Here is a 13,254-nt window from a genome sequence, read left to right on the forward strand (position 1 = left end):
AGTGGATTTCATACCAGGGATGCAGGGATAGTTTAACATACGCAAGTCAATAAATGTGATACACCACATAAACAGAATTAAAAACAAAAATCACATAATCATCTCAATAGATGCAGGAAAAGCATTTGACAAAATCCAGCATCCCTTTATGATTACAACCCTCAGCAAAATTGGCATAGAAGGAACATAACTTAATGTAATAAAAGCCATCTATGACAAATCCACAGCCAAGATAATACTGAATGGGGAAAAGTTGAAAGCATTCCCCCTGAGAACTGGAACAAGACGAGGATGCCCACTCTCACCACTTCTATTCAACATAGCACTGGAAGTCCTGGCCGGATCAATCGTACAAGAGAAAGAAATAAAGGGCACCTAAATCAGTAAAGAGGAAGTCAAACTGTTGCTGTTTGCTGATGATATGATCATATACCTAGGAAACCCTAAAGACTCCTCCAAAAAACTCCTAGAACTGATAAATGAGTTCAGCAAAGTTTTGGGATACAAAATTAATGTACACAAATTAGTAGCTCTGCTATATGCAAACAGTGACCAAGCTGTTTTTGAGAATCAAATCAAGAACTCAATCTCTTTTACAATATCTGCAAAAAAAAAAAAAAAAATACTTAGGAATATACATAACAAAGAAGGTGAAAGAATTCTGCAAGGAAATCTGCAAAACACTGCTGAAAGAAATCCTAAAACAAATGGAAACACATCCCATGCTCATAGATGGATAGAATCAATATTGTGAAAATGACCATACTGCCAAAAGCAATCTACAAATTCCATGCATTTTCCAACAAAATACCGCCATCATCCTTCACAGAACAAGAAAGACAATCCTAAAATTCATATGGAATCAAAAAAGAGCCTGCATAGCCAAAGAAAGACTGATAGTGATATTGATACCTGCAATTGCTCAGGCTAATTTAAATTGCATTTCTGAGATGGGCAACCTAAAGAATCCTTGCTGACATGACTGAATTTCCATTCAATCTTTTCCTTATCCAAGGCTCTGTATGACAGTCACTGGGCACATGTAACTTTTGAGTGCTTGAAATGTGATTAGTCCAAATTAAGATGAAGTTGTAAAGTACACACTGTTTCAAAGACTTAGTACTAAAAAAAGTAAAGCATCTCAATAATTTTTATATTGATTATATGTTAAAATGATACTCCTTTGGATATATTGGTTTAAGTACAATATATTGATAAAATTAATTTTACTTTTTTCTTTTGTCCTTTTTAATGTGGTTATTAGAAAATTAAAAATTACCTAGTGACCCACATTGTGTTTATTTTGGATAGCTGTGTTCTAGAATACCTACCTCAGTGCTTACTGCCCTTTATCAAATTTCTAGTAATTGAGTCAATAGGTTAATTTCAGAGACTCATATACCTGAAGAGATGGGCAACTCAAATAACCCTGGCTAATACGACTGCATTTCCATACAATTGTATGTGCAGATTCTGATTTATGAGTGAGCTTTTGGTGCTGTTTATGAGTGACCTTTTGTGGGACTGAATGGATTTCCAAGAACACACAGAGGCTCAGCTTCTCGTTCCTCATAAACACCTATGTCTGAAGTGGCAAGCAGTGCCATGGCTTAACAATCCTAGTTAATGACACGCTGCTGGTTTTCAGCCAGTAGTTAGTAGTATCTTTCTATGAGAAGAAAGAAGCCTATAATCTATGCCCAACACATCATTGACATTTATTAGAGCTTTTCAAAAAGCAACACATGGAGCTGTATTGTCCAGAGAGAGAGAGAGAGAGAGAGAGAGAGATGGAGAGAGAGAGAGAGAGAGAGAGAGAGAGAGAGAGAGAGAAAAGCAACACAGATTAAGGAATTCAAGTTGCAGGTGCAGTTTCCACTGTATTTTACAGAGATGTTGATAAAACAAGAGATTTTATGTGGCTGTCAGCACCTCCAGTTTAGTCACTAAAAGTAATTGTGGGGTTCATGAACATCAGAGATCCTTAAATTATAGTTTGACACTTCATACAAATTTGGTCCTGATTAACCCCTGGAGGGGTTTGGTGGTAATTTATTGAGAGAGGTGATTTGGTATGTGCACACATGCATGCACGTGCGTGCGCACACATACACACAAACGCATATATGTGTGTATTTATACTCAAAATGTTCCTCCTTCCTAGAAAATGATTGAATTCTTATGAGTGAGCATATTTAGTCTAGATGCAGATGAATTCACTTATTCAGAGAACATTTATTGGGGTTATGAGCATTTATTGAGGGCCCCAGAGCTAGGCAGAGTGCACTGATTAGTATATGGCTGTTTGGGGACTACTGAAAATAATAGTCCCTTTTAGAAGACTTATATGTAGGATTCTACAGAACCACTAACCTAGCAGAAAATGGGAAAATGCAGAAAGATTTTTTGAAATAATTACAATACAGTGAAAAGAATGTGAAATACTAAATTATAAGACCCTAGAATTCATCATTTACTAGCTGCTATGACTTCAGGGAAGTTGATTAGCATAGTTTTCAAACCTATAAAATAGTAATGGTGTTAATAAAATAAAGTAATAATCCCCAACTTGCAGGGTTGTTTTGAGGATGTGAGATGACATATCTATCTAAAAGCAATTTTGTTAATAGAAAATTAACTCCAGAATATTAGATTAACACATTTTATTGTGATGTTGTGCCAGCTTCATTTTATTTGCAAGCACTAGAGGGTCCTAAATTTATAAGTTAGTCTGTAGCAATAATCAGAACCTTTGATTTCCTACTTGAAGCATGCCACTTTATTTTGAATTAATGCATAATCTGGAATGAGGTAGAAGATTTAATAGTATAATGCAATAAGATTTAGTATAATGAAGGAAATGACTACACAGGTCACAAGATCGCATACATTTGAATGATACAAAGCTTAATTAAAATTAATTTGTTTTATCCTTAATGATGAGGCCAAAGCAAACATTATTTTTATGTCTTTTACAAGTGATGTCAAATAACTAATTCTGAGGCAAGAATTAAGTTAAAAGTAAAATTTACCGAAATCTGTGAATTTGATAGGGAAAACAATGTCTTATATTGCAGTATTGAAGTTTATAAGAATCAGACTACACTTTATACTTAAATTTTTTTCCTTTGGTTCATCTAAGGCAGCTACTTGCTGGGACTTTGCATACTTTTATTTATCTATCAATCAGCCTGCACTCTGGCTTTTAATCAGGTTGGTGAAAATCCTTACCACGTGATTATGAAATGATTTCTTTTTTTGATTAAAATGGTAGGAAATTTAAAAGAAAAAGAAAATTAACTTTATAAATATTACTTAGCTTCCTAATTAATAAATAACTTAGTTATAGAAAATTGTCATTTATAGCATAATGTATACATACAGGGTGGCAATTTTCCAAAAATTTGAACACAATAAAATACATTAATAGAAAAATTCCACTGAACATTTAATATTTTTGGATTATTCTGAAGGCATGTTGGGGTTTTGGCATGTCTTTAAATTGCCTTACCCATTACCCCAGTAGATATGGGATAGTAGGATAATCAATTAACCTTGGGACGAACAGAAAAACACTTTTCTACATAGTGTTTAAAAATAAACCTTGTCCTTCCTATGATTTTCACAGATGCTGTGATGATCATCTTTAACTAAAATCTAAGACCCATTATTATTTGCAACATTGTCCCTTCTCAATGATTCTGTTTTAAAATATAATTCCCTTGAGACAGCACCAGCATGTTATTGGGAATTAGTTTTTATCTGCTTTTTAGACTTCTTCTATAATGGGAACAAGGCAGGATAAACACCCTCATTCTCTGTGGGATGAAATGAGGTTTAGAAAGATGGAGTCTTTCTAAGTGGAAGTAGAAGTATGAAGCAGGTGAACATGTTTGCAGTGACTTCTACTTACTGGAATTGTTGCACATTAATCTTCCCAGATCCCAGATCCTGCCATGTTACTCACCCACTCAACAACTTTCAATGGCTCTGCATTGACTCCAAACTTTCCACTCTCCCATTACTCCCCTCTACACATTACCCTATCCTTCATTTAAACTGGGTATCTTATTCTTTCTTAAACATGGCCTAGTGTCCTTCTTCTATTTCTTTGCTTCTCCATTATCGCCATCTTTCCTAATCTAGTTTATGTTTCATGACTCCACTCAAATCCACTTTCTTCATGAGGTTTACTTTCCCCTCTCCCTCACCCCATCCAAATAAATATATTACCTTCCCTCTCATTTCCAAGGCACTTTCTTTGTGTCTTTTTCACATCATGTATCATAGTGTGCCTTTTATCGTAATTATTTTAGTGTTTGACTAATCCAGCCACACACTGTAAGCTTATTGAAAGCATAAAGAGACTGTGTCTTCCTCAACTTTTTAACATATTCATAATATGTTGCAATTATAATCCAGGTGAAACGGACTATAAATAAATTTTCACTGATTTTTTAAATGTAATGTACATATGTTTTATCTCTCCCATTAAAGGAGATGTTCCTTGATGGTGGGGATCATATCTAACTTACTGCCCATATCCTCCACAGCATTTAACCAGGGTTCTGCACAGGAGCAAAGTTCTCAATACACATTAATGAAACGAGTAAGGTGGTAGATTGGACACACGAATGAAAGAATAGATGAATGGACAGATAGATAGATAGATGGAAAGATGGATGGATGGTCCAAAAATGATAGACTGGATTAAGAAAATGTGGCACTGTAGCCTTGTAGTATAGTTTGAAGTCAGATAGTGTGATGCCTCCAGCTTTGTTCTTTTGGCTTAGGATTGACTTGGCGATGCGGGCTCTTTTTTGGTTCCATATGAACTTTAAAGTAGTTTTTTCCAATTCTGTGAAGAAAGGCATTGGTAGCTTGATGGGGATGGCATTGAATCTGTAAATTACCTTGGGCAGTATGGCCATTTTCACGATATTGATTCTTCCTACCCATGAGCATGGAATGTTCTTCCATTTGTTTGTATCCTCTTTTATTTCCTTGAGCAGTGGTTTGTAGTTCTCCTTGAAGAGGTCCTTCACATCCCTTGTAAGTTGGATTCCTAGGTATTTTATTCTCTTTGAAGCAATTGTGAATGGGAGTTCACTCATGATTTGGCTCTCTGTTTGTCTGTTGTTGGTGTATAAGAATGCTTGTGATTTTTGTACATTGATTTTGTATCCTGAGACTTTGCTGAAGTTGCTTATCAGCTTAAGGAGATTTTGGGCTGAGACAACGGGGTTTTCCAGATATACAATCATGTCGTCTGCAAACAGGGACAATTTGACTTCCTCTTTTCCTAATTGAATACCCTTTATTTCCTTCTCCTGCCTAATTGCCCTGGCCAGAACTTCCAACACTATGTTGAATAGGAGTGGTAAGAGAGGGCATCCCTGTCTTGTGCCAGTTTTCAAAGGGAATGCTTCCAGTTTTTGCCCATTCAGTATGATATTGGCTGTGGGTTTGTCATAGATAGCTCTTATTATTTTGAAATACGTCCCATCAATACCTAATTTATTGAGAGTTTTTAGCATGAAGGGTTGTTGAATTTTGTCAAAGGCCTTTTCTGCATCTATTGAGATAATCATGTGGTTTTTGTCTTTGGTTCTGTTTATATGCTGGATTACATTTATTGATTTGCGTATATTGAACCAGCCTTGCATCCCAGGGATGAAGCCCACTTGATCATGGTGGATAAGCGTTTTGATGTGCTGCTGGATTCGGTTTGCCAGTATTTTATTGAGGATTTTTGCATCAAAGTTCATCAAGGATATTGGTCTAAAATTCTCTTTTTTTGTTGTGTCTCTGCCCGGCTTTGGTATCAGGATGATGCTGGCCTCATAAAATGAGTTAGGGAGGATTCCCTCTTTTTCTATTGATTGGAATAGTTTCAGAAGGAATGGTACCAATTCCTCTTTGTACCTCTGGTAGAATTCAGCTGTGAATCCATCTGGTCCTGGACTCTTTTTGGTTGGTAAGCTATTGATTATTGCCACAATTTCAGCTCCTGTTATTGGTCTATTCAGAGATTCAACTTCTTCCTGGTTTAGTCTTGGGAGAGTGTATGTGTCGAGGAATTTATCCATTTCTTCTAGATTTTCTAGTTTATTTGCGTAGAGGTGTTTGTAGTATTCTCTGATAGTAGTTTGTATTTCTGTGGGATGGGTGGTGATATCCCCTTTATCATTTTTTATTGCGTCTATTTGATTCTTCTGTCTTTTTTTCTTTATTAGTCTTGCTAGCGGTCTATCAATTTTGTTGATCCTTTCAAAAAACCAGCTCCTGGATTCATTAATTTTTTGAAGGGTTTTTTGTGTCTCTATTTCCTTCAGTTCTGCTCTGATTTTAGTTATTTCTTGCCTTCTGCTAGCTTTTGAATGTGTTTGCTCTTGCTTTTCTAGTTCTTTTAATTGTGATGTTAGGGTGTCGATTTTGGATCTTTCCTGCTTTCTCTTGTGGGCAAGGCTACAGTAACCAAAACCGCATGGTACTGGTACCAAAACAGAGATATAGGTCAATGGAACAGAACAGAGCCCTCAGAAATAACGCCGCATATCTACAACTATCTGATCTTTGACAAACCTGAGAAAAACAAGCAATGGGGAAAGGTTTCTCCATTTAATAAATGGTGCTGGGAAAACTGGCTAGCCATATGTTGAAAGCTGAAACTGGATCCCTTCCTTACACCTTATACGAAAATCAATTCAAGATGAATTAAAGACTTAAACGTTAGACCTAAAACCATAAAAACCCTAGAAGAAAACTTAGGCATTACCATTCAGGACATAGGCATGGGCAAGGACTTCATGTCTAAAACACCAAAAGCAATGGCAACCAAAGCCAAAATTGACAAATGGGATCTAATTAAACTAAAGAGCTTCTGCACAGCAAAAGAAACTACCATCAGAGTGAACAGGCAACCTACAAAATGGGAGAAAATTTTTGCAACCTACTCATCTGACAAAGGGCTAATATCCAGAATCTACAATGAACTCAAACAAATTTACAAGAAAAAAACAAACAACCCCATCAAAAAGTGGGTGAAGGACATGAACAGACACTTCTCAAAAGAAGACATTTATGCAGCCAAAGACACATGAAAAAATGCTCACCATCACTGGCCATCAGAGAAATGCAAATCAAAACCACAGTGAGATACCATCTCACACCAGTTAGAATGGCAATCATTAAAAAGTCAGGAGACAACAGGTGCTGGAGAGGATGTTAAGAAACAGGAACACTTTTACACTGTTGGTGGGACTGTAAACTAGTTCAACCACGGTGGAAGTCAGTGTGGTGATTCCTTAGGGATCTAGAACTATAAATACCATTTGACCCAGCCATCCCATTACTGGGTATATACCCAAAGGACTATAAATCATGCTGCTATAAAGACACATTAACACGTATGTTTATTGCGGCATTATTCACAATAGCAAAGACTTGGAAGCAACCCAAATGTCCAACAATGATAGACTGGATTAAGAAAATGTGGCACATATACACCATGGAATACTATGCAGCCATAAAAAATGATGAGTTCATGTCCTTTGTAGGGACATGGATGAAATTGGAAATCATCATTCTCAGTAAACTATCACAAGAACAAAAAACCAAACACTGCATATTCTCACTCATAGGTGGGAACTGAGCAATGAGAACACATGGACACAGGAAGGGGAACATCATACTCTGGGGACTGTTGTGGGTTGGGGGGAGGGGGGAGGGATAGCATTGGGAGATATACCTAATGCTAGATGACGAGTTAGTGGGTGCAGTGCACCAGCATGGCACATGTATACATATGTAACTAACCTGCACATTGTGCACATGTACCCAAAAACTTAAAGTATAATAATAATAAATGAAAAAAAAATGTGGCACATATACACCGTGGAATACTATACAGCCATAAAAAATGATGAGTTCATGTCCTTTATAGGGACATGGATGAAGCTGGAAACCATCATTCTCAGCAAACTATCACAAGGACAAAAAGCCAAACACTGCATGTTCTCACTCATAGGTGGGAATTGAACAATGAGAACACATAGACACAGGAACGGGAATATCACACACCAGGGCCTGTTGTGGGGTGGGGGGAGGGGGGAGGGATAGCATTAGGAGATATACCTAATGTGAAATGACGAGTTAATGGGTGCAGCACACCAACATGGCACATGTATACATATGTAACAAACCTGCACTTTGTGCACATGTACCCTAAAACTTAAGGTATAATAATAAAAAAAAAGAAAGATGGATGGATGGATGGATAGATAGATGGATGGATGATGAACGGATGGAGAAAATTTATCAATTTCTCTACTGTTCCTTGGCTATTAGGTCTTCTAGTCATTGGCCCAGTTGCCAACTGAGTTTGAAAGAAGCAATACTCAGCTGTGACTGTTGATGGAAAAATGGACCATAGAGGAAATTTCTGACCCACTTTTGGCAAAGTGGACACACATAGACCCAGCCCTTCTCTCTGAAAGATGGACAAACTGTTTGGGAGGGGATGACCTCCCAGCAAGGTCAATGTGGCTCTAGGGTGACCAACTGAGGGAGAGCAGCTGGGCCAAAGTGACCTGTCCAGCCATTGCTCAGAACAGGCTGTAATCCTCACTGTGAACAAGTCCACTGAGTTTGCTTGTGGAGGATAAATGCAGGACTGACTGTATAGAAAGGTAAAGAAGCATCACCTTGGCCAGGGAGGCCCCAGACAAAATCATGAAGCAGGTGTATGTGTTTGCAGTGACTTCTACTTATCCTTTTTGCCCAGTGTCTCCACCTTTCTAAATCTCATTTCATCCCACAGGGAATGAGGGTTTTTATCCTGCCTTGTTCCCATTATGGAAGAAATAAAATAAAGCAGAGTAATGCTAAGCATTCATTGTTACTCTCATGGCTTGCAGGTTGGCTGCAGCCTGGCTGAGCTAGGCTGGGCTTGACTGGGTGGCTCTGCTTCAGCTGCAACCCTGGCTAGGCTTGACCCTTTGCTGTGAGTTGGACTCATGTCTACACCCATATGATCATGTTAGAGTCCAGGCTCAAAGGGCAGCAGCCACCTGAAGGAAGCTCTTGTCCAGGTAATGGCAGAAGCATAGGACAGGTATTAGTTTCCTAGGGCTGTCATAACAAAATACTACAAACTTGGTGCCTTAAAATAATGAAAATTTATTCTTCTACAGTTCTGGGGGCTAGAAGTTAAAAATGAATGTGTAGGCAGTGCCATGATCCCCCCAAAAGTTCTAGGAAAGTGGCCTTACTTATCTCTTCCAGTTTTTGGTGGCTGCAGGTTTTCCATGGCTTGTAGCAGCATTACTCCAATCTCTACCTCTGTCCTCTGGCATTCTTTTCATGTTTCTGCGTCTTGTCTCATGCAAGGGCACTTTTATTGGATTTAGGGCCTGCCTTACTTTAGTATGACAGTATGATCATAAGTTCCTTTCAATCCTTACCTTAATTACATCTACAAAGACCCTATTCCCAAATACGGTCATATTCTGAGGTTCCAGGTGGACACAAATTTTTAGGAGACATGATTCACACACTACAGGAGGGCAAACCCAAACAGGCAAACACATTATGTCTGCTCACATCTCATGGGCAAAACCAAGTCACATCAATTGGTAATTATCTTCTGTCTCTAGTGTGAGGGGCTGTAAAGTCACATGGAACAGGCCTGGATACACAGGGTGGGAAAGAAATGGGGCCAACAATCCAACCTACTACAAAAGCCTAGTTTGCTGTGAACCCAGAAGAGGAGATGGTTGGTGGTTCTGCAGTGCTTCCTAGCCCTCCAGACTCTCATCTGCATAAATGGGTTTGCTGAGAAGTCCGTGCCTCATGGAGTTACAGTAATGATTCAGTGTTAATACATGCAAGCTGCTTAGCACAGTATGTGGCACACAGTAAGCACAGAATTAATGTTAACTACTATGATCCTTATGAACCCACTGTCCTTTCTCTACCATCCACTTCACCACTCTCTGTTATTCCTTATGCTTTCCCCCCTTCTCCTGGTTTTCAACACATGTAATTTCCATTTTGCATAATTCACATAAACGAGCAAAGAAATTCTCCTGTTGAAGAGTCTTGTTATACTAGAATTTGGAAAAAGGGGGTCCCAATTATAGGGTGAGATAACTATTTAGGACATTAACTATTAAGATAGTGGATAGTTGTGGGCAATAAGCAAGCTAAACTAGTGCTTTGATCTCCTGAAAGGGAACTTGCTGTAGGTTGAGGGATTTCTGTGGCTTTCATCAAAGGAGTGAGAATCATGCTGGGCCATTACCTTTGCAGAGTGGAAATGATCCAGCTCAGTTTTGAAGCAAAAGCTGATCAGATAAGGGCAAGAGAGCAAAGGATGCTGCATCATCACCCAGGCTGGCCTCTTGGCCAGCAGGCGGAGAGATAAGAACGTTGCTCTGGGGAACGAGTTCCCCAGCAGTAACTGCAGTCTCTGTTTGGAATATGAGTTGTTCCATGCTAATGAGTCACATTTCATCATTTCCGGGAGTTGATGCCCCAGAAGGGACTGTTGTCACATAAAACCTTTTTATAAAAACTGTTTATTTGGTGGAGTCTTTATGTTTAGCTTTTGCACCAAAATAATTTCTAAGTGATGATTCATTTCCAACCTACATGACATGCATAGACGCAGCTAATGCAAAATAGTGTTGATGCACGTTTTTTACATTTTTTTTTCAATTTAAAGAACCGTTGTACAGTTTTTGCTAAGGTCTCAGGATTTCTTGAGATTCCTGTGGACACAGTGCTGCAGAGCTGCACCCGAGGCAGGATCTGATGGGAAAGAGTGCTGACCTGTTAAGGGCTGGATGATCGTTCTGGATGGAATGTGCAGGAAGCTCTAACACTGAAAATGGACTTAGGGACTGTCTTTGCCTCTGTTGGCTGTTAATGATCTTTGCAATCCCGAGAATTTTAGAAAAGAGAGCAATAATTTCTACTAGCTGTATGGTTACTAATTTCTAATCATCTAAATATAACCTTTTATATTAAAATAGGTGTGATTACAGGCACAGAAAACCAAACACCACGTTCTCACTTCTTTTTTTTTAAATTTTATTATTATTATACTTTAAGTTTTAGGGTACATGTGCACAATGTGCAGGTTTGTTACATATGTATACATGTGCCATGTTGGTGCGCTGCACCCACTAACTCGTCATTTAGCATCTCCTAATGCTATCCCTCCCCCCTCCCCCCACCTCACAACAGTCCCCGGTGTGTGATGTTCCCCTCCCTGTGTCCATGTGTTCTCATTGTTCAAGTCCCACTTATGAGTGCACATGTTCTCACTTCTAAATGGGAGTTGAGCAATGAGAACACATGGACACAGGGACAGGAACAACACACACTGGGCCTCTTTGAGGGCGGAGTCGGGGGGCATCAGGATAAATATTTAATGCACGTGGAGCTTAATACCTGGGTGATGGGTTGATAGGTGCAGCAAACCACCATTGCACATGTTCATCTATGTAACAAACCTGCATGTCCCGCACATGTATCCTGGAATGAAATAAAATAAAATAAAATGAAAAAAATTAAATAGGTGTGATTAGCAAGATGAATTCCCCTGTGAAGCCTGGAGCAGGCTTCACTTTTTTCAACACACATCTGTGCCTCAACAACATCAGACAAGGTGTGGGGGCTCACGCCTGTAATCCCAGTACTGTGGGTGGCTGTTGCAGGAGGATCACTTGAGGCCAGGAGTTGGAGACCAGCCTGGGAAACATAGCAAAACCCTGCCTCTACAAAAAATAAAAAATTAGCCAGGCATGATGGTGTACGCTTGTAGTTCTAGCTTCTTGGAAGGCTGAGGCAGTAGGATTCCTTGAGCCCAGGAGTTCAAGGTTATAGTTATCTATTATTGTGCCACTGCACTCCAGTTTGGGTGACAGAGCAAGACCCTGTCTTAAAAAATGTCTTCTGGCCAAGAGAAGTGAGTATGGGTCAGCAAACATGAAGTTCTTGCCCAGAGATCGAGAGATGCTGTTGGCCTTTGCAGGGGGAATGGCCCTGCCCAGCAGAGGGTAGAGCTGTAAGGGACCCTGCCAGGAGATTTTGCCCATGGGTCACTTGAAGAGTGAGGAGTCACCCTTCTCTCATTGACCATGTGCTTCTTGGTCCTTTCTCCACCAGCCATGAATGTGTGTATGCATATAGGTGTGTGTGTGTGTGTGTATGTGTGTAGCAGGGGCGGGGAGGAGGATGGGATACCAAGGTGTCAGCGATCCACCCGTCTTTGTGCTCTGCCACTGCCAACAGCATCCAAATGCTAATATTCAGCCTCTCCACCCAGACATAGCTACACAGGTCCCTCCCACTTCTACATTCTGTGGCAGACATTGCTTATTGCCTAAACAGAGCCTTATTCTTCCTCAACTCCCTTCTTTCCTGCTCACAGAACCTGATTTATTCAGGAAGCAGGTGGAGTGTAGCAGGTTGATCTTGGGGAGCATAGGCCCTTATGTCAGCCATATAAGATAAAGCATTGAAATCAGTTAAGGGACTTTCATTCCCTTTAGCCAGTGATTGGCCTAAGAGTTTGCATATAACCCTGTTCTGATGAACAATGTAAGGGAGATAGATGAAGGGGAAGATTCAAATAAAAGCTTCATGAGAAGGGGCCTTTCAGCTTTTCCTTTTCTTCTCACCTGGAAAATATATATGAAGCCTGGAGGTTTGGTAGCCATGTTGCAGCAATGAGGACAAAACACAGAACACTAAGGAAGTTAGAGCAGAAAGACCACAAGAACCAGCCTTGGTTAGCCTATCTTCAGACTTTCTTATTATGTAAGAAAAATGTCTCCTTACCCCAATAAGTGTAATCCACTGTTTGTTACTCTATTTTTATGATACTGATAGCCAAATGCTTTGTCTTAATTTCACTACTGGCTAGTTTTCTAAGCTCTGCAAAATGTGGGACTGCCATTGATGCAGGGAATAGGTGGTAGTGTTGAGGATGAGAAGTAAGAGGGGGTCCAACCAAATGGTGCTATCCCTTAGCCCACCAAAATTTCAAGGTGCTACTCTTGAATTATAACACTTTTATAACAAATGTGACACCAAAGATGCATGTGTACACTGTACCAAGCAGAATGGGGCTTTGGACTGCCTGTCAAAAGCTTCTCAGGGAGCCTAGAAGTGACGTTCTTATTGGCAAAATGTGATGGAGTGAAAAATCAGAGGAAACTGAGGAGAAAATAGGGTTGTAAAGGA

This window comes from Homo sapiens, chromosome 5 (genome assembly GCF_000001405.40).
Source record: "Homo sapiens chromosome 5, GRCh38.p14 Primary Assembly".
Classification (NCBI taxonomy): domain Eukaryota; kingdom Metazoa; phylum Chordata; class Mammalia; order Primates; family Hominidae; genus Homo; species Homo sapiens.